Source organism: Homo sapiens, chromosome 12 (assembly GCF_000001405.40).
Source record: "Homo sapiens chromosome 12, GRCh38.p14 Primary Assembly".
Classification (NCBI taxonomy): domain Eukaryota; kingdom Metazoa; phylum Chordata; class Mammalia; order Primates; family Hominidae; genus Homo; species Homo sapiens.
The window spans coordinates 32,112,301-32,137,517 of NC_000012.12; the positions used below are offsets into that span (position 1 = coordinate 32,112,301).

A 25,217-nucleotide genomic window follows, 5' to 3' on the forward strand; every position below is an offset into this window, starting at 1 on the left:
CAGCCCCTTCTTTTTATTTGAAATCAAGATTTCGTCTCTGGCGAAGTTATTTCTCAGATATAACTTAGCAAGAATTTATCATCTTTTATCACATTCCCCATGTTTATGTGAACATGTATGACAGCGATGGTTTGAAGGTTTCTTCAGAACTTTCTGCTTGCAAATATTTTGCCCTATCATCCCCTTAAATATAGTTGTACTCATGGATATTGCTTTCCAAATTTGAAAATACGGTAATTAATTACTTGCATGTTGAAATATACATAAAGGACTTGCCCACACATAAGATTCCACCTGTAATTATGGCTTTGAGGAGAGGAGGGCATGAAGGGCTGCATAGTCTTAGTATTAAATAATTCATTACGCTAAAGGAGAATGCACGTAAAGTCAAGTGGCAGGAGATGCAATTGTGAAAGGGCCATGGCCACATTTTGTCTTGGGGATGTGGAGCCATTGAAAATAAATGAAACAGTCACTGTGTTTAATCTCACCAGTCTTCAAAACAATTCAGAGGGCTTACTGCTCATTTTTACTGATAAGAAGATAATAAAAATAATAAAGCATTGACTTAGGTACAAGGCTCCATTTAGAACTAGGTTCTTTACAAGCCTCACCTCTAATTCATGCAGCAATCCTTACTCAAGGTAGGTGTTTCTTGCATTATACAGAAGAGGAAACTGGGTCTTAGAGAGGTTTAGGTCTCTTCCCAGGGCCACAAAACTAAACGATGAAACTTGGAAGAAGCCCACTTTTTTTTCACTGCATCATACTACCTTGAATATGAAATATCTCTGCCAAGTCTACAAGTGCAGTATAGAAGGTTATGGTGATGGTCATAGTGGGTGGATTGAGGCTGTGTGGTGGGACAGACAGTGGCAGTAGGGATCGTGAGGAGGGGGCACGTCTAAGAGCTATTTGGGAGGTAGGGTGGAACAGGCATTGGATGTTACTATATGTGGAAAGTGAGGAAGACAGTGGAGCTGAGAATCTTCTCAGGCTGGATAGGAGGTGGTTCTATTTACAAAGGAAGGTATTATGGGGCAGAGCAGTTTTAGAGGGTGAAATTGATGCTCAAGTTACATGAGTTTCTGTTGTTTTTGACACAGGGTTTCTCTCTGTCACCCAGGCTGGAGTGCAGTGGTGCTGTTACAGCTCACCGCAACCTTAACTAACCATCCTGGCTCAAGTGATCCTCCCATCTCAGCCTCCCAAGGAGCTGGGAATACAGACCCATGCCACCATGCCTGGCTAATTTTTTTTTGAGACTGAGTCTCCCTCTGTTTCCCCAGCTGGAGTGCAGTGGCATGATCTCAGCCCACTGCAACCTTTGCCTCCTGGGTTCAAGTGATTCTCCTGCCTCAGCCTCCCAAGTAACTGGGACTACAGGAGCATACCACCATGCTTGGGTAATTTTTTTTTTTTTTTTTGAGCTGGAATCTCACTCTATCACCCAGGCTGGAGTGCAGTGGTCTGATCTCAGCTCACTGCAACCTCCACCTCCCAGGTTCAAGCGATTCTCCTGCCTCAGCCTCCTGAATAGGTGGGACTACAGGTGCCTGCCACCATGCCTGAATAATTTTTTTTTTTCCAAGACAGAATCTCGCTCTGTCGCCTAGGCTGGAGTGCAGTGGCGCAATCTCGGCTTACTGCAACCTCTGCCTCCCGGGTTCAAGTGATTCTCCTGCGTCAGCCACCTGTAGATGGGATTATAGGCGCGCGCCACCACGCCTGGCTAGTTTTTGTATTTTTTTTAGTAGAGACAGGGTTTCACCATGTTGGCCAGAGTGGTCTTGATCTTCTGACCTCGTGATCCACCCACCTTGGCCTCCGAAAGTGCTGGGATTATAGGCATGAGCCACCGCGCCCAGCCTAATTTTTGTACTTTTAGTAGAGAGAAGATTTCAAACATGTTGCCCAGGCTGGTCTGAAATTCCTGAGCTCGAGCGATCTGCCTGCCTTGCCCTCGTAAAGTGTGGAGATTACAGGCATGAGCCATTGTGCCCAGCCACATAAGTCCTTTTAATTCATGTTTTCTTTGCTGGGGAAGCGTACATTGCATGATGGATTCAGATCCTCAACTTTCTTTTTTTTCTTTTTTTGAGATGGGGTCTCATTTTGTCACCTAGGCTGGAGTACAGTGGTGTGATCGTGGCTTACTGCAGCCTTGACCTCCTGGGCTCAAGCAATCCTCATGCCTCAGCCCCCAAGTAGCTGGGACTACAGGTGCACACCGCCATGCCTGACTAATTTTTGTATTTTTTTTGTAGACACAGGGTTTTGCCATGTAAGCCAGGTTGGTCTAGAACTCTTGAGCTAAGGACAGTCCGCCTGTTTTGGCCTCCCAAAGTGCTAGGATTACAGGCTAACTTTCAATTTAATAAAAAAAATTAATTTGTGCAATTGGTTGTTATTTTATAGAAGCCTAATTTCTAGAATATGGGATATAAACAATTTAATAATGTTTTCACCAGTTAGTTTGATTGCTTTCTAAATTAGGAAAAATGAAAACAAATAAACGATGGGCAAAAAAGCTGACTGGGGACAGTAAGGTCTAAGAAGGCAGCCTAAGTGGAAAATTAGCCCTTACTCACCATTTAGGGTTATGGGGGCTGGGAGCAACAGTCCTCACTGCTCACTGACTAATCTTTATCAATCTTATTTAATCTTTATTGAAGATGCATTAGCATTTTTAATTTAAGTGGGTTTTTTTCCTCTTTTCTTTTGGTGGGGGGTGTGGGCGGCGGGGGAGTTTCAATATGTTGACCAGGCTGGTCTTGAACTCCTGGCCTCAAGCGATTCTCCCTCCTCAGCCTCCCAAAGTGCTGGGATTACAGGCATGAGCCATTGCACCCAGCCTTTTCTATTTTTCATTTCAAGAGTTTGCTTTTTAAGAATTAAAATTGTGTAATTATGACAGTTTTTATTGCAGTACTCCAAGCTAGAGAAAAGCATATATAAATTAATAGTTTTCCCTTCTTCTCCCACAGTTCTGTCTCTGTTGTTAACACTTTGCTGAGTATTCTTCTGTACTTGTTTTAAATGTCTTTAAACATATAGGCAGGGTTTTTGTGTGTGTGGTGTTTTTGGTTTTTTTTTTTTTGCTGTTTTTCTTCCTTTGTTTTTATAAAAACAGGATCTTGCAGCCTGGTGTTTTAAATTTAGTAGTATGTCCTTTCAAAAGGCAGGTATTTACGAGACAAAGCTGCATTTTTAAAGCACTGGTGAAGTGTGAAGAAAATGAGACCGATTAGGGAAGAAAACCCGAGAAGCTCAGAGTTTGGGTGACCCTGGGGATGTGGGAAGGTGGTGAAAATGGTACCCTGAGGGTAGCATGGATGGTAAGTGAAAGAGGAAAAGGTGTAGGTTTGCATAAAAGAAACTGATGGAATTTGGATGCCCAATAGCAGACCCAGGGGAATGATACCAGGGGAAAAGATGGACAGTTTTGTGGGTAAATTAGCAGTGATTTTGATTCCTTGTCTTGTTAGCTGCTGATGGAGATACGTGTATCAGCATAATACCTGGCTAGTTTCCATGGCCGGCAAGAGCCAGTCCTGCAGTGTGACCACATCCTGTCCATTCTGGGTCTTGGTGGCAAGCCAGGATGATTCAGGCAGTTGGGCTTTATTACGTTATCCCTTCTTTGCCCTCTGAAAGCTGAGTTTTGAAATAGTTAGGATCTTATACAACATCTCAGATTCAGCATGCTGTGCAGGAGGTGGGGAGAAAAGGGTACAAAAGAGGAAAATGTTCAGTGAAGGTGTTATTACAATGGAGGGGAATATGAAAGTGGAAATTGATACCTTTTCCTCTTGGGATTTAATTAAGTCTATAAAATTAAGGTGTTGCAATACATAATGTCTATGATTTTTTTTTACCAGCTCTAAATCTCTGAGATGGCTGTGTTTTAGAGCTGCATGTTCTGCTTATTTACTGCCTGTCCTTTACATTTCAAATTCATTCAATATTTTTCCAAAGTACAGAATAGTTTTGCCTAGTTGCAGTAATTTTCACCTAGACTTCAGGGATCTTCCATCAACTCTTTTATGTATTTTTTCTCCTTTGTTTTTCCACTCTGGTCACTCAGTTCTAGCCAAGATAGTCCACCTTATTTTAGCACTTGTACTATGTCTCTGTCTCTGTCTGTCTGTCTGTCTGTCTGTCTCTCTCTCTCTCTCTCTCTCTCTCTCTTTCTCTCTCTCTCTCTCTCTATATATATATATATATATGTAATTTTGAGATGGAGTCTCACTCTGTCGCTCTGACTGAAGTACAGTGGTGCGATTACAGCCCACTGCAGCCTTGACCTCACAGGTTCAAGTAATCCTCCCACCTCAGCCTCCAGAGTAGCTGGGACCACAGGTGCACACCACTATGCTGGCTATTTTTTTTTTTTTTAACCTGATTTTGTTTTTACTGGAGGCTCAGGTGGCCCAACTAATTTTTAGAAATTATTATTTGCAGAGATGAGGTTTTGTTATGTTGCTCAGGCTGGTCTTGAACTTCTGGGCTCAAGTGATTCTCCCACCTCAGCCTCCCAAAGTGTTGGGATTGTAGGTGTGAACTACTGTGCCTGGCCTTCTACATTTTTTTTTTAACCATTTCATAGTTCCCTTTTTCTTTGAACACTTGGTCCAAACTCACTTTTCTTCTGGATTCATATTTTCTGATCTCACCTATTATGTTATAGAACTGATATGTTACGTTTGTTTTCATTGATGCGTCTGTACTTGGCTTCAGAGAGCAGAACAAGGCCCTGTGAGTCACTGGGAGCCAGATTTTGGATCAAAATAAATCACTTTCTGACAAGTGTAGTTGTCTAGTAATGGAATGAGGCAGTCTTCTTAGGAAGTAATGAATTCCCTGTCACCAAAAGGGAGAAGCTAGTGAGCCACTTGCTGAGAATACTCTATGGGGAGTTGTCCTTAGGAAGGGGTATATCTAGAATGATCTCTAAGGTTCATTCTTATTCGGATTTCTTTGATTTTTATCATTCCAGGTGTTCCAAATAATTTGATAAGTTTATGTTTTTTATACTTTTCCCACCACCAGAGCAGTGTTTCCAACATGGTTAAATTGTTCTGCTTTAATGTTTGGCATTTCACACTATTTGATGACTGTAAACATTTGGAATGTTTTCACAGTGTCTCAAAACTTTATTTTGATTTATGTTTTGCTTTATTTTCAGAAGAAAACTAATGGGTAATATAAAGCTTTAAGATGAGTGTATCTCTAAATTTGGAGAGCTTTCAGTGAAACTGTACATTTTGAAGCTACGTGGTTGCATTGAGGGAGGTCTACAGCCTCCAGAATCTTCTTTTTCACACACACGGGCACATGTGCATGTGCATGACTTTATATTTTGTCATTTACGCTTAGTCATATATATATATATATACACAAATATATATACACACACACACACACACACACACATATATATATATATATATATATATTTTTTTTTAAGACCATATTTCGCTCTCGTTGTCCAGGCTGGAGTGCAATGGCATGATCTCAGCTCACCGCAACCTCCACCTCCCAGTTTCAAGCAATTCTCCTGCCTCAGGCTCCCGAGTAGCTGGGATTACAGGCATGCACCACCATGCCCAGCTAATTTTGTATTTTTAGTAGAGACAGGGTTTCTCCATGTTGGTCAGGCTGGTCGCGAACTCCTGACCTCAGGTGATCTGCTCGCCTCGGCCTCCCAAAGTGCTGGGATTACAGGCGTGAGCCATCGCACCGGCCCGCTTAGTCCAATATTTTATTTTATTTTATTTTATTTTATTTATTTTTTTTGAGATGGAGTCTCACTCTGTCGCCCAGGCTGGAGTGCAGTGGCGCGAACTCGGCTCACTGCAAGCTCCGCTTCCCTGGGTTCATGCCATTCTCCTGTCTCAGCCTCCCAAGTAGCTGGGACTACAGGTGCCCGCCACTACGCCTGGCCAATTTTTGTATTTTTAGTACAGATGGGGTTTCACCGTGTTAGCCAGGATGGTCTCGATCTCTTGACCTTGTGATCCGCCCGCCTCGGCCTCCCAAAGTGCTGGGATTACAGGTGTGAGCCACCGAGCCTGGCCTAGTCCAATATTTTATAATCTGCATCGTCAACTAGTCAGGCCCCAGAATCTGTGGGTTCAGCATCCTTGGATTCTGCATCCTTGGATTGAAAATATTTGGAAAAAAAATTGCATCGGTACTAAACGTATACAGGCTTTTTTTGGTCATTGTTCCCTGAATAATTCAGCATAACAGCTATTTACATAGCATTTACATCGTATTAGGTATTATAAGTAATCTAGAGATGATTTAATGTATACTGGAGGATGTGTGTAGGTTACATGCAAATACTACACTATTTTATCTCAGAGACTTGAGCATCTGTGGATTTTGGTATCTGCAGGGGGTCCTGGAACCCCCACACCCTCACCCAGACTGAGGGATGACTGTATTTACGTTATCTACCACTCTGATGTTTTCTTTTTGCTTTAGATTGCCCATTACCTCTTCATCTGTTTCATTTATTCATTCAAAAATTTGTATTGAGTGGCTACTGTGTCGGGCATGGTGCCACTTGCTGGAGATACAGCGTTGAACAAGACAGACCCAATGGGGCTGCCTGGGTGGAGCTTATGTTTCAGACTGGGAAGAGAGTCAACGAACATCCACACATATTTCAGTTGTGAGAGGTGCCATGAGGGAAGAGACAGACTGGCTGGGGAAAGCGTGATCAGGCAGTCTTCCCCAGGAGGTGAGACTTGAGCCCAGACCTGAATGATGACAAGGAGCCAGTCATGTGGAGACTGGGGAATGTGATTTTTAAGAAGAGGACAAGTGCCAAGATCTGCGAACTCTGTTGTAGTTGTTAGGGGAAGGGATGGGTTACCATGCTCTGTAAAAATGACCATTCATATTTGAAATATGACCATTCTGTAACACAGTGTATTGCCTACTGGATTTTTCTAATGAGGTATTGGGTCTCAACATTGGAAATGTTTGAGCAGACCTTGGATATCTCCCTGAGGTCTTCTCTGAGAAGAGGTGGGTAGGAACTAGTGACTTTCAATACAGACTGTATGTTAGAATCACCTGGGTGATTTATAAAACTACTGCTGCCTGGACCCCACTCCGGGAGAGTTAAATCACTCATTGGAAGTGGAGCCTGGCTTCAGCATGTGAATCCCACTTCCCTTAGAGATGCAGCCAGGGTAAAGAACCCCTCTTCTATATTTCCAACTTGAGGACTAAATGACCCCATGGGCGTAGAAGTGTTTAGTAAGAAAATCTAGTTCCGGGTGCAGTGGCTCATGCCTGTAATGCCAGCACTTAGGGAGACCAAGGCAGATGGATCATATGAGGCCAGGAGTTTGAGACCAGCCTGACCAACGTGGCGAAACCCCATCTCTATTAAAAATACAGAATTAGCTGGGCATGCTGGCATGCGCCTGTAGTCCCAGCTATTCGGGAGACTGAGGCATGAGAATTGCTTGAACCCAGGAGGTGGAGGTTGCAGTGAGCTGAGATCGTGACACTTCACTCCAGCTTGGGCGACAGAACAAGACTCTGTCTCAAAACAAAACAAAACAAAAAACTGGGAAGTTATGAGCTAATACATAAACCTTCATTGCACAGTCTTTTAAAATTTGTTGTTTCTACTTTCTGAAAATGAAAATATTAAATCCTTCCTGAAAACAGAAAATATCAAAAACTTAACTGCATTAGACAGAGATATATGTTAACTTTGAGTGCATTTAATTTTGTATTCTTGAGTACTGTTTAAAGTGTCTTTTAAAAGTTCTCTCTTATTGTGTCTATTTATTTTATTCTGTTTGCAGTTTTTATGCCAACTTTACACATTTGTAAATAGAATATTTAAAAAGAATTTTTTTTGAGGGATTGATCTCTAACTTCTTGGTGACTTATAGTTGTTCTTTTGGTTGTACATCTTTACTGTTTTCCAACATTTTAAGGAGAAAAAGCACTACTCTCAAATGTAATATTTAACTGCTGTGTTTCTATCTTTAAATATAGAATTGAAAATGAGAACCTGTTTATATTTATGGGAGCAATAGCAATATGTGTACAATAACAGTAGCAATTTCCTTAAGAATGTTCTGTTGCAGTTTGGCGTGGGTCTGTGATAGAAGGTTCAGAATGATGGGTCTTTGTTTTTCTCTTGCATACTGCAGAGTAATGTGGAATCAAATACCACTATTGAAGAGCTCTTAGTCATCAATTTTTGAAACTGAAAGAGGTTTATATTGTAAGAAGGATGGGCCCTGTTGATAAGCCTCACTGATTGCTACTTGCTAGATGGTTTTAGGAGATATCTTGAAGTTGACCTTGTGTGAGGTTACTGGATGGAAACAGCATGAGTTTAATCTTGTACATGACTTCTTTTGTTGAGCTGGAGATACTATTGTCTTGCAGATTATCTCTTTGGCACGCATGACCATTTTTTTTTTGTCTTTTAAATCACAAACTGGCTTTCTTTCTGCTAAGGTTGGTGTGCTTAGATTCTTTAAGCTCCAAATCTCAAGAAAATATAGGAAGGAAAATCAACCATTAGAGAGAGAGAGAGAGAGAGAGAGAGAGAAAAAAAAAAGGAAAAAATATAATGTGCTCCAAACTGATTATAAATAGCTTTTGAATTGTTGGCTCCATAGAATTTTTTTTTTTTTTTTTTGAGACGGAGTCTCGCGCTATTGCCCAGGCTGGAGTGCAGTGGCGTGATCTCAGCTCACTGCAGCCACCGCCTCCTGGGTTCAAGTGATTCTCCTGCCTCAGCCTCCCGAGTAGCTGGGATTACAGGCGTGTGCCACCATGCCTGGCTAAGTTTTTGTATCTTTAGTAGAGACGGGGTTTCACCATGTTGGCCAGCCTGGTCTTGAACCTCTGACCTCATGATCCACCTGTCTCAGAGTGCTGGGAGTACAGGCGTGAGCCACAGCACCTGGCGTCCATAGATAATTTTAAAAATTCATACCAGATCTTAATTAATGTTGGCATTAAAAACTAATGGTGGCTCATGCCTGTAATCCCAGAATTTTGGGAGGCCAAGGTGGGTGGATCACTTGAGGTCAGGAGTTCAAGACCAGCCTGGCCAACATGGTGAAACCCTCTCTCTACTAAAAATATAAAAATTAGCTGGATGTGATCATGCGTGTCTGTAATCCCAGCTACTTGGGAGGCTGAGGCAGGAGAAACTCTTGAACCTGGGAGGCGGAGGTTGCAGTGAGCTAAGATCACTCCATTGCACTCCAGCCTGGGCGAGAGTCTTGTTCTGTCTCCAAAAATAAAAATAAAAATAAAAATAAAAATAAAAATAAAAGCGCTGAGGTGGAAGGATGGCTTGAGCCCAGGAGGCAGAGACTGCAGACAGCCAAGATCGCAACACTGCACTCCAGCCTGGGCAACAGAACAAGACTCTATCTCAAACAAACAAACAAACAAAGAAAACCTACGGTTAATGATATAGTGATCTGAACAACAGAAGATCTCAGTTTGTCAAATTTTTTTTTTTTTTTTTTTGAGACAGGGTCTCACTCTCTTGCCCAGGCTGGAGTGCAATGGTGCAATCTCGGCTCACTGCAGCTTTGACTTCCCAGGCTCAAGTGATCCTCCTGCCTCAGCCTCCTGAGTAGCTGGGACTACAGGTGTGAGTCACCACACCCAGCTAATTTTTTTGTATTTTTTGTAGAGACAGTGTCTCACAATGTTGTGCAGGCTCGTCTCAAACTGTTGGACTCAAGACATCTACCTGCCTCAGCCTCCAAAGGTGCTGGGATTACAGGTGTGTACCACTGTACCCAGCCTCAGTTTGTTAATATTTTACAATAATTTAGAAGTAGAACCCTTTCTTAAGGCTGGGCGCGCTGGCTCACACCTGTAATCCCAGCACTTTGGGAGGCCGAGGTGGGTGGATCACGAGGTCAGGAAATCGAGACCATCCTAACACAGATCGAGACCATCCTAACACAGATCGAGACCATCCTGACTAACATGGTGAAACCCCCGTCTCTATGAAAAATACAAAAAATTAGCCGGGCTTGGTGGTGGGCGCCTGTAGTCCCAGCTACTCAGGAGGCTGAGGCAGGAGAATGGTGTGAACCTGGGAGGCGGAGCTTGCAGTGAGCTGAGATCGCGCCACTGCAGTCCAGCCTGGGCGACAGAGCAAGACTCCGTTTCAAAAAAAAAAAAAAACAAATAACAAAAAAAGAAGTAGAACCCTTTCTTAAGAGCATTCTCAGGTCTTCTATCTTAATTACTGTAGTTATTTCCAGTCATGTTTTATAATCAGGTGCTATTTTTCATTGTGGCATAATAAGTAATATATTTTTGTAAATCATGTTGAAGTGCTTGAGACAATACAAGCAATTATTTGCTAAAATTTAGACCAGGGTCTCAAAACAACAATTACATTTTTAGATAATGGTCACAGTAAGTCTTTTCAGAAAAAAGCAACGAAGAAAGCTCTAGACCAATGAGATTTTAGTCATCATTAATCAATGCCAAGCGAAAAAATCTTAAGATGTATTTAAATTTGTGATGCCAGTGTGATTCAGAAATTTGAAAAATGGATTTCAAAGTAATGCTGTGAGCAGATAGGTCATTGTATAAACATAACTAATGGTTCATTCATTCATTCCTACAATAATGATTCAGTGTCAGATTTGGGTGTTGAAAATACAGCAGAGAACAAACACAACAGAAGGTCCATATTTGCGGAGCCTACATTTTGTGGGGGAAGAGAGATGATAAACAAAATGAATGAGTTAAGTAGATAGCACGTTAGATCATCCAAAATGCTATGGGGGGAAAAAACCCTGGGAATAGGGAGATGGCATGTGAAGTGGAAGAAGGTTATGATTTTCAATAGAGTGATCAGAGAAAGCCTCATTGAGAAGACACACTAAGGAGGCCATGTGGCTGGAGGGGACTGAGTTAGGGGGTGAATAGTAGGTGAGACCAGAGGGGGCCACATGATGTAGCAGCTTCTAGATTATCAGGACTTTGGCTTTTGCTCTGAGTGAGATGGGAAACTTTCAGAGAGCTTTGAGCAGAAAAGTCACAATGTTCTGCACTTTTTCCTTCATTGAGATAACCTCTGCATACATTCAAGCACGACTAAGACCCCCTTCAGGGAAAAGAAGTTTTCATTAACTCAGTATCCCATGAGGTATATGGCATTCTCTTCCTTCCCACCATAGCAGGTGTTTAATAGGTGGTTATGGTATTGCACTGATTTAGGCTGGGAAAAAATTAAAGATGAAGTTATTAAGACAGCCAGTTGTGGTCGGGCACAGTGGCGCACGCCGGTAATCCCAGCAGTTTGGGAGGCTGAGGCGGGCGGATCACCTGAGGTCAGGAGTTCAAGACCAGCCTGGCCAACATGGTGAAACCCCATCTCTATTAAAAATACAAAAAATAAGCCAGGCGTGGTGGCAGGTGCCTGTAATCCCAGCTACCCGGGGGCTGAGCCAGGAGAATAGCTTGAACCTGGGAGATGGAGGTTGCAGTGAGCCGAGATTGCGCCACTGCACTCCATCCTGGGCGACAGAGCAAGACTCCGTCTGAAAAGAAAAAAAAAAAAGACAGCCAGTTATTTGAAAAGAGGTTGGAGTAGACCACTTGTTTTAAAAATAACCACTTGTTTGCCTAGGTTAAACCCATTTACTCAAAAGACACTGCGCTGACTTGCCTGGTTCCTTGTACCTGAATCTTTACCTAAGTGTCTTGTGCTCTCTGTCCTTTATTCTCCATAATGCGAGCTATCCAGTAGACCCTAGCCAAAGGGGACATAAAGACAGTCTCAACATTGTATTACTGGTTCTGTGCTACAGTTGTCATTCAAGTTCCTGAGAAAATGGAATGAATGTCTGTTATTCATTTATTTATTAAATCTTTAGAGAGCATCATCTATATGCCAGGTATTATGCAGGCTATACAAAAATTAGGAAGACGTGATCTTTATTTTTAAGTTACTTATTTGTTGTTGGAGGCAACAGAGATAAATGAATTGTGATATTTTACTGGAAACAATATGAGTTTTTGAGTTAAGAACAGACTGTGTTTGAAATCCCTTTAGCAGCTATGTGACCTTAGGCCAATATTTGAAATGATGTGAACGTTGGTTTCCTCCTCAGTAAAATGGAGAATGATAATAACTATAAGTGGTAAGGAAAAATGCATGTGAAGGATTTAATACAGTATCTGACACATGACAAGCACTTGATAAATGATGGATGTGATGGTGACAATAATAGTAATAATAATAAAATAATAATGTGTTGGCTGTGCTCGATAGGAGTGGAGGGTAGCAAACTCAGCTTGAATCAGAGTAATCTCCTGATCAGGCAACATTTGAGGGGGCTTTGAAGAATAAGTAGGGATTTTCCGGGGAGAGAAGAGGGGCAAAGTCATTCAGGAAGATGAAACAGCCTGTAGAAGAGGGAAGGCTGGAGAGAGTGCTGCTTGTCAGTGTCTGTGTTGTTGCAGTAGGGAGGTAGATGGAATGGGGTGAGAGGGGAGGTGAGCCTGGAGAGATGGTTTGGGGCCAGATGGGGAAAGCTGTGTTATGGGGCTTGTCAGTTTCTGCCAGCCAAGGCTTCAGCATAGCTGACTGTAACAAAGTTGGGAAGGCCTTGCTTTTGAGAGCCAGACCAGGAGTACCTGTGACTAACAAGGGGTCTGGGAGGATCTGCTGCTCCCATGCCCTCCTTTGTATATTTTAAATCTGTTTGAGCCTTCTGGGCTCCTGTGAATTAGGGAGAGGCAGCTCCTCAGTCTAACTCCTACTGTGACCAGGTTGCCTAATTGGCCCTTTGGTTTGGGCACCCACTGTCCTCTGCGTGGTTGGATAGATGCTGCTCCCAATGTCCCTGATCTCTTACAGACCCCTCTGATTCTTCACTCTTGGCTTTGAGAGCCCCTGATGCCCTGCAGTCTTGACTGAGCTTCTAATGGTTGATCAGACCCTTGAATGTTGAGCTCTTTCCATACTAGACTTGAATATTCTCCTGCCCATTTGATTTGTTAATTAGGATTCATTGGCTGTTTCTCTGCTCTCCTCTTTTCTCTCTGTTCCTGCTGGTTCAAGTTTAACCTCCATTTTCTTTCTCCTCTGGGAAGTTTCCCTTATGCCTCTTGAACAGGGTCAAGAGCACTTAGGAGCTCAGATTTACACTGTATATCATGAGAAAAGCATTGAAAGTTTCAAAGCAGGAGAGTGACATAATTAGCTTTATGTTTTAAAGCGGATTTTTGACTTTAGATTCTGGCAATACAGTGGTCCTGTGGTCTAAGACATCTGACTAACCTTCCTGCTAGCAACAATTAAAAATGCTGAGTGCAATAAAAAACTAGCCCTTAAATGGAATGAATGAGTCGACTACTTGGTAAGGATGCTCAGAGGCTAAAACTGAATCAAAGCAGGAACTCTTAGAAGTAAGCAGTGTGTTGGCTAGGCGCAGTGGCTCAGCCTGTAATCCCAACACTTTGGGAAGCCAAGGCAGGTGGATCACTTGAGCTCAGGAGTTTGAGACCTGCCGGGGCAACATGGCAAGACCCCGTCTCTAAAAAAAAAAAAAAATGCCAAAATTAGGCAGACATGGTGGCACACACTTGTAGTCCCAGCTGCTCGGGAGCCTGAGGTGGGAGAATCGCTTGAGCCCAGGAGGTGGAGTTTGCAGTTAGCTGAGATTGTGTCACTGCACTCCAGCCTGGGCAACAGAGCAAGACTCCATCTCAAAAAAAAAAAAAAAAAAAAAGCAGTGCATCAAATCTGACTTTTGCCTTGAATGCATTTGCTGAATCAGTATTGGTTCAATACTGAGCATTAGTTTTCCGGCCACTTAGAGTAGAGGAAATAGGAGATAAAGCCTAGAATCTCCCCAGATTTGGGCTCCAGAGGACCCTACAACTATTGTGGGGGGAACTGGATGTGGTGGGAAAAATTGTATACCTCTTCTCAGACTTCATACCCCACCAATGGGCTCTCACCACGGTTTGCAGACTGTTCACACCGAGTTTGTGTAGAAAGGATGAAATCTTAAGATTAGAATGAGAGTGAACGCAGGTTGGTCATGCCTGCAGCTCTCTTTGAAGACACTCGCTATCATGGTGGGCTAGAAATAGTCACCATAGATAGTATTCTTAAAAAAAAAAAAGTTGCTGGCCGGGTATGGTGGCTCACACCTGTAATCTTAGCATTTTGGGAGGCCGAGGCGGGTGGATCACTTGATACCAGGAGTTCGAGATCAGCCTGGCCAACATAGTGAAACCTTGTTTCTACTAAAAATACAAAAATTAGTTTGGCATGGTGATGCAAGCCTGTAATCCCAGCTACTTGGGAGGCTGAGGCAGGAGAATTGCTTGAACCCGGGAGGTGAAGGTTGCAGTGAGCCGAGATCAGATCACGCCACTGCACTCTAGCCTGGGCGACAGAGTGAGACTCTGTTTAAAAAAAAAGAAAAAGACCCTGCAGAAATTAAAATTGTAAAAATATAAATATACAAGGAACAGGCACCAGGCACCTTTGGCTCCACATCCTTGTCATCACTTCATACCTTGTGGCTCTAGTTTGCATTTTTGTGGCTGCTTATGAGGTCGTGCCTCTTCAGTATTTACAGGCATTTATGACTATCCTGCACTGAAATGCATTTCATGTCTTTGCTCATTTACCATTGGATTGTTTACATTTTTCTTCCTGATTTGTAAGAGTATACACCTATACTCATATTCTGTATACTAAGCCTTTTTAGTTATTTAGATATGTTGGAAATATCTTTTCCTAGTCCATGGGTTGTCTTTTTACTCTTTCTGTGGTATCCTTTGAAGAAGAGAAGTTTATAATTTTAATTTAGTTGATTTATCACTCTTTTGTGTTTCTAGGTTGTATTTTTCTATTCTTAAGAAATCCTTTCCATGAAGTCATAAAAACATGCACCTATATTGTCTTCTGAATATCTTATGGTTTGACTTTTATATTTAAATCTTTAATTCTCCCTGGAATTGAGTTTTGTGTTTGGTGTGAGGTAGAAATCTAATTTAAATTTTTTCCCATGATTCCACCCCACCCCCCAATAAAATTAGCCAGTGATCTCAGTACCACAGGTTACTGAACAGTTGATCTTTCCTGCACTAATTTCCAATGTGTGTTTTGTGATAAATCAAGTTTTTATATATGCATGGGTCTATTTTTGGACTATTCTGTTACATTGGTTTGTTGGTCTATTCTTGTGCAAATGCCACACTGTCTTACTCTTACCATTTTAATATAAGTTCTTGGTAGCTGATGGAATAATTCTTCTTATTTTGTTCTTCCCCAGGAGTCACTGGCTTTGGACACCTTCCTTGCTGTCATAGGCTCTTTGCTTTGGAAAGCTCTCAACATTTACAAGGAAGTGACAAGTGTGAACGAAGGCAGATCACACTGTTTATTTCCGTTTCCCCAATAAGCATTAAGGAGGAGGATATTGAGGGTCTAGTTGTGGTTGTCTTAGACTTTGCACATGTTTTTATAAGCAAAGCAGACAAGCTCCAGCAAGGGAACTCAATTGTCTAATTAGATGTTACCAGAAATCTTATTGGGGCTGTGATCTAATTCTTTTTTTTTTTTTTGAGACAGACTCTTGCTGTGTCATCCAGGCTGCAGTGCAGTGGCGCGATCTCAGTTCACTGCAGCCTCTGCCTCCGAGGCTCCAGTGATTCTCCTGCCTCAGCCTCCTAGGTAGCGGGGATTACAGGTGCATGCCACCACACCCGGCTAATTTTTGTATTTTTAGTAGAGACAGGGTTTCACCGTGTTGGCCAGGCTGGTCTCAAACTCCTGACCTCAGGTGATCTGCCCGCCTCCGCCTCCCAAAGTGTTGGGATCACAGGCGTGAGCCACCGCACCCGGCCTGAGCTAATTCTTAAGAAGTCACTTTGGAAAAAAATATTATTTAAGGGCTTTTCATAAAGTATTCAAAAAGGTACAAGTTCTAATCTAACAGTTCTATTTGTGATTTTTGAGGAAGCATATGCGTATTTCCACTTAAGCATCTGAAATATTGCCTCTAGTGCTGAACAAATTCTTCCCTTGGTTATTTTCCTCTTATCTCAGTCCCTGGAAGAATAAATGCCTGTACTAATTCTCTATATACATAAATGGTCTCTTTAGGTATAAATAACCTCATAATCACATAAAAGTTAAAGTTTTAATGGAAAAGGCTGAGATGAAATATTACCTAAGTAGGAATTAATTGCTTTTTATCACTTTACATTATTTCATTTTTAGTATTATGAAAAATATAATTGTTCCTTTTCTTAAAAAAAAACCAGCGTAATTTGTGCTTAGTTTTAAACCAAAATTTTTCCTATATGTTTATAGTTTATATTTTCAAGCCAAAATACTTGAGTTTTTTTCCTGTCATAATATATCAATATGAGAAATGTATTGTTACTTTAGAATCTTTTAAAACTTCTTTTTATTCCTTTTTTTGTTTTTTAAGATAGGGTATTGTTTTGTTGCGCAGGCTAGAATGCAAGGGCACGATCTTGGCTTACTGTAGCCTCAGCCTCCCAGGTTCAAGCAACCCTCCCACATCAGCCATACAAGTAGCCGGGACTACAGGCATGCACCACCATGTCCAACTAATTTTTTTTTTCTTTTTTTTTGAGACAGAATCTCGCTCTGTTGCCCAGGCTGGAGTGCAGTGGCACGATCTTGGCTCACTGCAACCTCTGCCTCCCAGATTCAAGAGATTCTCCTGCCTCAGCCTCCCGAGTAGCTGGGATTATGCACCATTGTGCCTGGCTAATTTTTGTATTTTTATAGAGATGGGGTTTCACCATGTTGTCCAGGCTGGTCTCGAACTCCTGACCTCAGGTGATCCGCCTGCCTCAGCTCCCCAAAGTGCTGGGGTTAGAGGCCCAACTAATTTTTTAAAAATTTTTTGTAGGCCGGGCATGGTGGCTTATGCCTGTAATCCCAGCACTTTGGGAGTCCAGGCAGACGGATCACCTGAGGTCAGGAGTTGGAGACCAGCCTGGCCAACATAGTGAAATCCTGTCTCTACTAAAAATAAAAAAAATTAGCCAGGTATGGTGGCACATGCCTATAGTCCCAGCTACTTGGGAGGCTGAGGCAGGACAATTGCTTGAACCCAGGAGGTGGAGGTTGCAGTGAGCTGAGATGGCGCAACTATACTCCAGCCTGGGCGACAGAGCGAGATTCCATCTCAAAAAAAAAAAAAAAAAAAAAAATTCTGTAAACACAAGGTGTCACTATGTTTCCCAGGCTGGTCTCAAACTCTGGGCTCAACCGATCTTCCCACCTCAGCCTCCCACAGTCCTGGGATTATAGACATGAGCCACCGCACCTGGCCTAAAACTCTTTCTTCAACATTAAGAAATAAGACTTTTCCAGTCTCTTTCTTAACCCTGTACCCTTTTCTTTCTCATCTTCTTTTATCCCCTCCCTTCATTAACTTTACATTGCAATACCAAGGACTTAATGGTTTGTTAAAAAAATGAATTCTACTCAGTAGAAAATTCCTGAGAATATTTATTAAATGTCACTGGGAGGAAATTTCCCTAAGCAAGATACAAAACTTAGAATCAAAAGGGAGGACTGACTTATTTGGTTTTAGAAATGAAAAAGAACAGTTTGGAAGAAATAGTGCGATGTGGATGACTTACAAACAATTATTATTCCTAAAATATAGGTACAATGAGTTTATTGAAAACAACATAATGCAATAGGAAAAAAGGACAAAGAGCAACTAGTCAGAGAGGATTTGCAAGTAAATCAGTAAATGGGAAGAGATGTTCAATCTGAGTAGTCAGTGAATGTAAATTAAGGAAGTTTACTTTTTTTCCCATTAATTTACAAAAATTTTAAATATGATAATATACAGTGACAAAATTTTTTTTTTTTTTGAGATGGAGTCTCGCTCTGTCGCCCAGGCTGGAGTGCACTGGGCAATCTCGGCTCACTGCAAGCTCCGCCTCTCGGGTTCATGCCCTTCTCCTGCCTCAGCCTCCCAAGTAGCTGGGACTACAGGCGCCTGCCACCGCGCTCGGCTAACTTTTTGTGTTTTTAGTAGAGACGGGGTTTCACCGTGGTCTCGATCTCCTGACCTCGTGATCTGCCTGCCTCAGCCTCCCAAAGTGCTGGGATTACAGGCGTGAGCCACCACGCCCGGCCCCAAAATTTTTAAATAATGATAATATACAGTGTCGGAAAGTGTGTAGAGGTAGAAGTGTGAATTGCTGTGAACTTTGAGAACGTGGATTGGCAGTCTGTATTAAGATCTAAAATGCATACAGTGCTTGGGCCCAGCAGTCTCACAGAAGCCATAGGTGATTGTATGTCAGTTCCCAAATACCACTCGTTAGAGAGAAGCACTGTTTAACATCTAGTATCTCATTTAGACCCTGTTTGAGCATAGATCATATGTGTGTGGAACATAAAAGTAATCGAAGTATGCTCATTCTTTTTTTAACATATCTTTCCAGGCTTCTATATAGTTAAATAAATAATGCTCCTTGACATTTATGTATTTATTTATTTAGATGGAGTCTATTTCTGTCGCCCAGGTTGGAGTTCAGTGGTGTGATCTCAGCTCACTGCAACCTCTGCCTTTCGGGTTCAAGCAATTCTCCTGCCTTAGCCTCTCAAGCTGGGACTATAGGCATGCACCACCATTCCCGGCTAATTTTTGTATTTTTAGTAGAGACGGGGTTTCGTCATGTTGGCCAGGCTGGTCTCGAACTCCTGACCTCAGGTGATCTGCCCGCCTCAGCCTCCCAAAGTGCTGGGATTACAGGTGTGAGTCACCACGCCAGGCTGCTCCGTGACATTTAAATAAAATCATATTTTAAAGTCCAGTTGTAAGCCTATACATCCCCCTTATCACTTATCTCTAATTCACTTCTAGACCTGGTTTGAACTTTGGATTTAGTGCTTTCAAAGTGTGATTTTTTTAAAAAAATTATTTTTCTGTTGCCGTATATTTCAGCTCTTCTCGGTCTTGAAAAGATTTGTGAGCCTTTTTGACAAAAGGTGGTGCTCATTTTCTATTTCGGTGGCTCCAGTAAAGGGAGCTGCTCTCTCATCGGATGATTATTGCCCCCAGAAGTGGTCCTACCATAGCTTTACTGGTCAGTTAGCCAGAATTTACACATTTACTCTGAGGCTTACAAAAATACTGTGTTCATAAAAAGCCCTCCTTCACATTTTGTGAAACAGTTGCATGGTGATTTGGGATATTTTAAGTTTACCATCACCTCTCTGTCCTCTGCAAAAATAAAAATTGTGGAATGTAAAACAACTCTGTTGCACAAAAAGGGGAACTTGGTGTAGGAAAAAATAACTAGAAATGATAACTACGAGACACTGCACTCCCAAATTGAAGATTTAAAAAAATTCCTGATCGTAAATAAGAAAAATTATGGAGACATTTATCCACTGCATATCTGATGACTAAACGCTTGGTATACCCCAGCCATTGTTAGGTGCCAGGGTACAAAGTTCCTGCCCTCAGCGGGTTGACACACTTGTGGGGGAGAAAGGCAACAAAAGCTTAAGCAAGTAAATGCATAATTTTACAGGGTGATATGTGCTAAAAACTAAATAAAGCAAGGTGGAGGAATAACAAGACTGGCGGGGGTGCTGGCTGGGGTGGCTATTTGAGAAATGAGGGCCAGGCATGGCCTTTCAGAGGAGATGATGTTGGAGCTGAATCCCAAGTGGTCAGAAGGAGCAAGGTGGGAAAATATTTGAGCAAGATGGGAAAATATTTCAGTTCCTGGGTCAAAAGTAACAGTAAGTGTAAAGATCTTGAGATGGGGGCTGGGCACTGTGGCTCACACCTGTAATCCCAGCTGTTTGGGAGGCCAAGGTGGGCAGATCATGAGGTCAGGAGTTCGAGACCAGCTTGACCAATATGGTGAAAACCTGTCTCTACTAAAAATACAAAAATTAGCTGGGTGTGGTGGCAGGCGCTTGTAATCCCAGCTACTCAGGAGGCTGAGGCAGGAGAATTGCTTGAACCCGGGAGGCGGAGGTTGCAGTGAACCGAGATTGTGCCACTGCACTGCAGCCTAGGCGACAGAGCGAGACTCTGTCTCAAAAAAAAAAAAAAAAAGATCTTGAGATGAGAATGAACTGGGTTTTTGTGAAAATGGCAAATGGCATTTTGGGTACTGCAAGCCTTTGCGGCTCGGAACTGTGCTGTGCACTGTGGGACTGTGTGGCTCAATGCGGGACGGTTAGCATCCCTAGTCACTGTCATTACAAAAACAGTCACACATTCTAGACACCCACTGCCCGCCCCAACGCCAAGGGGGCAGTACTGCCTTCAACCAGGACCCCAAAAGACTCCAGTGTGGCAGTTGTTGGGGAGGGGGAATGTGAGAGGGGCAGTGGAGAGGGAGTCAGCAAGCAGGTTCTCTGAGCCCTGGTGAGAAGTCTGGATTTTATTTTAAGCCGCCTGAGTGATGTGATTTCATACATGTTTTTAAAAGATCACTCTGGTTATTCCTTGCAGACAGTGGAAGAGTGAGCCAAGTTAGGAGGCTATTGCAGTAGTTCAGGTAAGAGATGATGGTGGCTTAGACTGAGAGAGAATCTACTTGAGGGTAAGAAGTGATCTGATTCAGGGTATATGTTGAAAGATTTGCTAATTAATTAAATATGGGAGGCAAAAGAAGGTGGAGAAATCAGGATGGCTCCTAGGTTTCTTATAAGGAGCTAGGAAGAATGTAAAGAAATCATATGATAAGGAGATATAAAAAGGAATAAAATAATATTTCACACTTAAATTTAGGAGACGAAATATTTGCTTATTTGAATTTGAAAATTCTTGTGGATACCAATATTGATACTTTGTCTGAAAAATAATTTTAAGATGAGTCTCCTGGCCAGGCGGGGTGGCTCATGCCTGTAATCCCAGCACTTTGGGAGGCTGAGTCAGGTGGATCACCTGAGGTCAGGAGTTTGAGACCAGCCTGACCAACATGGTGAAACCCCATCTCTACTAAAAATGCAAAAATTAGCCGGGTATGGTGGTGCACACCTGTAATCCTAGCTACTCGGGAGGTTGAGGCACAAGAATCACTTGAACCTGGGAGGTAGAGGTTGCAGTGAGCCAAGATCGTGCCACTGCAAGCCAGCCTGGGCGACAGAACAAGACTCCATCTGGGAAAAAAAAAAAAGATGAGTCTGCCAAAATGTTTCTCATTTGGAAGGGATTCATGACTTTGCCAGAAAAACAAGCAGCATTCTATAGTTATAATGCTCTATGATGTAATTTACTGGACCTAAGTTGGCTACCTTTCATGATGCATATTAAGTGTGGAGCCATATTTCTTAGTTTCTGTTATAAAGCTAAACTGTTAAGTCATTTTTATTCCTATAAAGTCAAACAAACTAGCCATGGATACTTTTTAACATTCTGTGAAACCAACTTTATCCAGTTTCTGAAATGGATGCCAGTTCTTTTTTTTTTTTTTTGAGATGGAGTCTTGCTCTGTCCCCCAGGCTGGAGTGCAGTGGTACGATCTCTGATCACTGCAACCTCCGCCTCCCGGGTTCACGCCATTCTTCTGCCTCAGCCTCTTGAGTAGCTGGGACTACAGGCGCCTGCCACCACGCCTGGCTAATTTTTTGTATTTTTAGTAGAGACGGGGTTTCACTGTGTTGGCCAGGATGGTCTTGATCTCCTGACCTGGTGATCCACCCACCTCGGCCTCCCAAAGTGCTGGGATTACAGGCCTGAGCCACTGTGCCTGGCTGGATGCCAGTACTTTTTAAACCAAAGTTAAAATAATTATTTATAGGAAGCAGTTGTGCACTGTAGATTAGGAACATGGAGACTGGGGCATAAATATATTCTTGAGCTAGAATTAAAGTAAAACATGTGACTGATGGAAATAACAGCTCTCCCTGTGCCCTACCATGGAACTTGGTAAGCCTTTGTTAACTCACTGGCACTGCTAGATCATGCTATGGTCCCCGAGGGCCAGGGAGGCAAGTGTGCTAGTCCAAGTAAAAAGCTGATATGATCTTTGTATGAACAGAAACACTGTTTGTAATGTGATGATAACGTTGGTTTCTTGCTCCTGGGATATTGTGTTCTAGGTAAAGTGGTCCAGAGACCAATGGGTGGCAGATACAGGGATACAGAGGTCAACTTAATATAAAAAAAGACCTTCTCTAATGTCTAAGAGCAGAGTGAAAGTGAGCAGGCCATCTGAGGAGAGAGAGACTTCCCTGTTGGCTCATCATGATGCTTAAGCAGAGCCAAAAAGCTACTTGGTAGGGATGTCAAGGAAGTGAGTCAGGTGTTTTCAGCACCGCGACTCTGTCATTGTGTGCCTCTCTCCTTAATACCTCAGAATTAGAATAAAGTCTTGATAACAGTAGTGGCACCAGTCCTGTGGTTTGTTTTGCGATGACTGTGTGGTTGTTAAACTTTCTAAGTGAAACACCATAGTGTCGGGAGCAATGCCGACAAGCCTGGCCACCTTTGGTCTACAGCAGATATTGCAAGCTGATATCCCGTGGCCACAGTCAGGCTTGGTGATTGATAAACATTTTGATTTAGGGAGCTGCTTTTTTCAAGAAACAGAATCACATAAACAGGATTTCAGGCCAGTCTCAAAAAACTGGAAGATTTCACAGAGCCTTGGGCCCACATTTCTGTGTGGCATCAGAGGGCTAGAGGTGAATGAGTCCTCCTCTCCTCTCCTCTCCCCCTCCTCCCCTCCATTCCCCTCCCCTCCCCTTCCCCGCTCCCCTCCTTTATTTTTTTTTTTTATGAGACGGAGTCTCACTGTGTCACCCAGGCTGGAGTGCAGTGGTGTGGTCTCAGTTCATTGCAACCTCCATCTCCCAGGTTCAAGCCATTCTCCTGCCTCAGCCTCCTGAGTAGCTGGGATTACAGGTGCATGCCACCATGCCTGGCTAATTTTATATTTTTAGTAGAGATGGGCTTTCACCATGTTGGCCAGGCTGGTCTTGAACTTGTGACCTCAGGTGATCCGCCTGCCTCGGCCTCCCAAAGTGCCGGGATTACAGGCATGAGCCACCATGCGTGGCTTTTTTTTTTTTTTTTTTTTTTTTTTTTTTGAGACAGGGTCTCTTGCGCTGTCACCTAGGCTGGAGTGCAGTGAGACAAACACAGCTCACTGCAGCCTAGACCTGCTGGGTTTAAGTGATCCTTACATCTCAGCCTCCTGAGTACCTGGGACTACAGGTGTGCATCACCACACCTGGCTAATTTTTAAATTTATTGTAGAGACAACACTTCACTATATTGGCTGGCCTGGTCTCAAATTCCTTGCCTCAAGCGATCTTCTGCCTTTACATCCCAAAGTGCTGGAATTACAGGCATGAACCTTCACCTTTCTTTTAGAAAGAGCGTGAATCTCTAATTCACCAGAGTCCCCACCATTCCATCTCATCTGAGTTATCTCACTATCTCTGTTCTTCCCTCATTTACATCATCTGTCACTTACCTGTTGACATGTGAGTTTTGACTTTTGATTGAGATGCTGACACCCTCCTTCCCTTCTAGGAAAGGAAAATAAAGGGGGAAGGAAGGTGGAGAGGGACAAAGGAGAGGCGTGTGGAGGATGATAGCGCAGGACTTGCATTCTCAGTTCTGCCTCTTAAATCTTGGAACCTATTTCTTCATCTAACAGTATAGGACTGATGTTTATTTTTGTATTAGATCATATATATAGGAGTACCTGGCATATAACTTTGTCCAAAGTACACATTCTTTAGCTGGTGCTCCTCTGTGTTCCCCTGTAAAGACTGAGGCAACTATAATGTTCCACTGTTCTGTGATTATTGATTTTCAGGTCTGTTTCCTCCACCAGATTATGTGTGTCTTACTCAACTTTGTATCACCAAGCACCTACGTGGCATTTTTTCTTTTTTGAAGGTAGGGACCATGGCTTTCTCTTTCTTTACTGGACACTGTATAGATGTCATGCAGGTCTGAACGTCACACTGTTAAATAATTACTTAACAACTGACCAGAACTAAGGCTGTGGTCTAGAGCTCCAAACCAGAAGCAAAAAGGAATGGTGCTGGGCTGGGGCACTTTCCTCTAACATCACCCAAACCCAGAAAACGAGGATCGTAAGCCCCTTCATGGGCCAAATGCAGGGCTGGGGCCCTTGGGCTAACCCTTTAGTGCCTCTGGCTGCATCACTGTCAGAGTAAGGTAACCAGCAAGGGGCTGCAGGGAACAACCAGCCAGGTCCAGACATGGACAAACATAATTGGAAGGAAGACAGGAAATGGACAGGTCCTGTCCAGTGTAGATAAAATGACAGCAGCTAAGGCAGGTTGAGGGGCAGAGGAGAGGCTGGGGGATCGGTATTGTAGCAATGCAGGAGTCCTGTCCTGAGTGGCTGCTCAGGGTATTGACATGCCATTTTGATAAATACATGAATTAATGAGTGAGTTTCGAGAGTAGGGGGAGAGAGAATAACTGGGCATCCCCTTCTGTAGATCCTCAGTCTTCTAGTCTTATCTCTCTAGAAGGATATTCACCCATACTCACCTTGTCCACTTTGTGCCAGAGTTGAACATTCTTAAGAAATTAAGAAGGTGATTCTTTGCCAACCATATTCCAGTTCTTTATTTAGGAGCTATATTATCAGCTTTGCTTATGGCTCCAGAAGTGGCCATTAATACCTGGAGCTAAAACACTGTTTTGGTTTAGCATGACTCTAGTTTTCACTGAATATTTAGTATTTTTAAGTTAGGTTTTTTTGTTGTTGTTGTTTTTGTTTTTGTTTTGTTTGAGACAGTGTCTCGCTCTGTTGCCCAGACTGGATTGCAGTGGTGTGATTTCAGCTCACTGCAGCCTACACTGCCTGGGTTCAAGAAATTCTTGTGCCCCAGCCACCTGAGTAGCTGGGATTACAGGCATGCGCCACCACACCTGGTTGATTTTTGTATTTTTAGTAGAGACAGGGTTTTGCCGTGTTTGCCAGGCTGGTCTTGAACTCCTGGCCTCAAGTGATCAGCCTGCCTCGGCCTTTCAAAGTGCTGGGATTACAGGCATGAGCCACCGCACCTGGCCTAAGGTTAATTGTTTTTATAAGCAAATTATTTTGCTTTTGTGACCCAAAGCAGTACTCTCAGATACTTAGTGTAGCAATTTATTACTCAGATATATAACTTTTTACAAAGAGAATCATAGCAGAAAAGA

At 42.7% G+C, this 25,217-nt stretch overlaps 1 protein-coding gene across 35 annotated transcripts in view, besides 5 other annotated features; it reads left to right on the top strand.

Moving 5' to 3' along the window:
- The window catches only part of BICD1 (BICD cargo adaptor 1), a 276,787-nt gene that overhangs the window by 5,454 nt on the left and 246,116 nt on the right, over positions 1-25,217 (top strand). Inside the window, exon 2 of one of the 35 annotated variants that reach the window (NM_001413181.1) lies at positions 6,493-8,043. The exons of the other annotated variants lie outside the window; for them this stretch is intronic. Within the exon in view, the coding sequence (NP_001400110.1) occupies positions 6,493-6,546 (54 nt within the window). The 3' untranslated portion in view covers positions 6,547-8,043. Of the gene's footprint in view, positions 1-6,492; positions 8,044-25,217 lie in introns of those variants that run through there. 35 annotated transcript variants of the gene reach the window in all.
- Positions 6,615-7,231: an enhancer, noted in NCBI's record as "H3K27ac hESC enhancer chr12:32271849-32272465 (GRCh37/hg19 assembly coordinates)". NCBI's record gives its function as "activates a minimal SCP1, AML or CMV promoter by ChIP-STARR-seq in primed H9 embryonic stem cells {active_cell/tissue: H9 hESC(primed)}" and the evidence as "EXISTENCE:reporter gene assay evidence [ECO:0000049][PMID:30033119]".
- Positions 8,037-8,746: an enhancer, noted in NCBI's record as "OCT4-NANOG-H3K27ac-H3K4me1 hESC enhancer chr12:32273271-32273980 (GRCh37/hg19 assembly coordinates)". NCBI's record gives its function as "activates a minimal SCP1, AML or CMV promoter by ChIP-STARR-seq in naive and primed H9 embryonic stem cells {active_cell/tissue: H9 hESC(naive and primed)}" and the evidence as "EXISTENCE:reporter gene assay evidence [ECO:0000049][PMID:30033119]".
- Positions 19,707-20,208: an enhancer, noted in NCBI's record as "H3K4me1 hESC enhancer chr12:32284941-32285442 (GRCh37/hg19 assembly coordinates)". NCBI's record gives its function as "activates a minimal SCP1, AML or CMV promoter by ChIP-STARR-seq in naive H9 embryonic stem cells {active_cell/tissue: H9 hESC(naive)}" and the evidence as "EXISTENCE:reporter gene assay evidence [ECO:0000049][PMID:30033119]".
- Positions 21,990-22,149: an enhancer, noted in NCBI's record as "active region_6182". NCBI's record gives its function as "activates an Ori minimal core promoter by ATAC-STARR-seq in GM12878 lymphoblastoid cells {active_cell/tissue: GM12878}" and the evidence as "EXISTENCE:reporter gene assay evidence [ECO:0000049][PMID:35858748]".
- Positions 22,160-22,219: an enhancer, noted in NCBI's record as "active region_6183". NCBI's record gives its function as "activates an Ori minimal core promoter by ATAC-STARR-seq in GM12878 lymphoblastoid cells {active_cell/tissue: GM12878}" and the evidence as "EXISTENCE:reporter gene assay evidence [ECO:0000049][PMID:35858748]".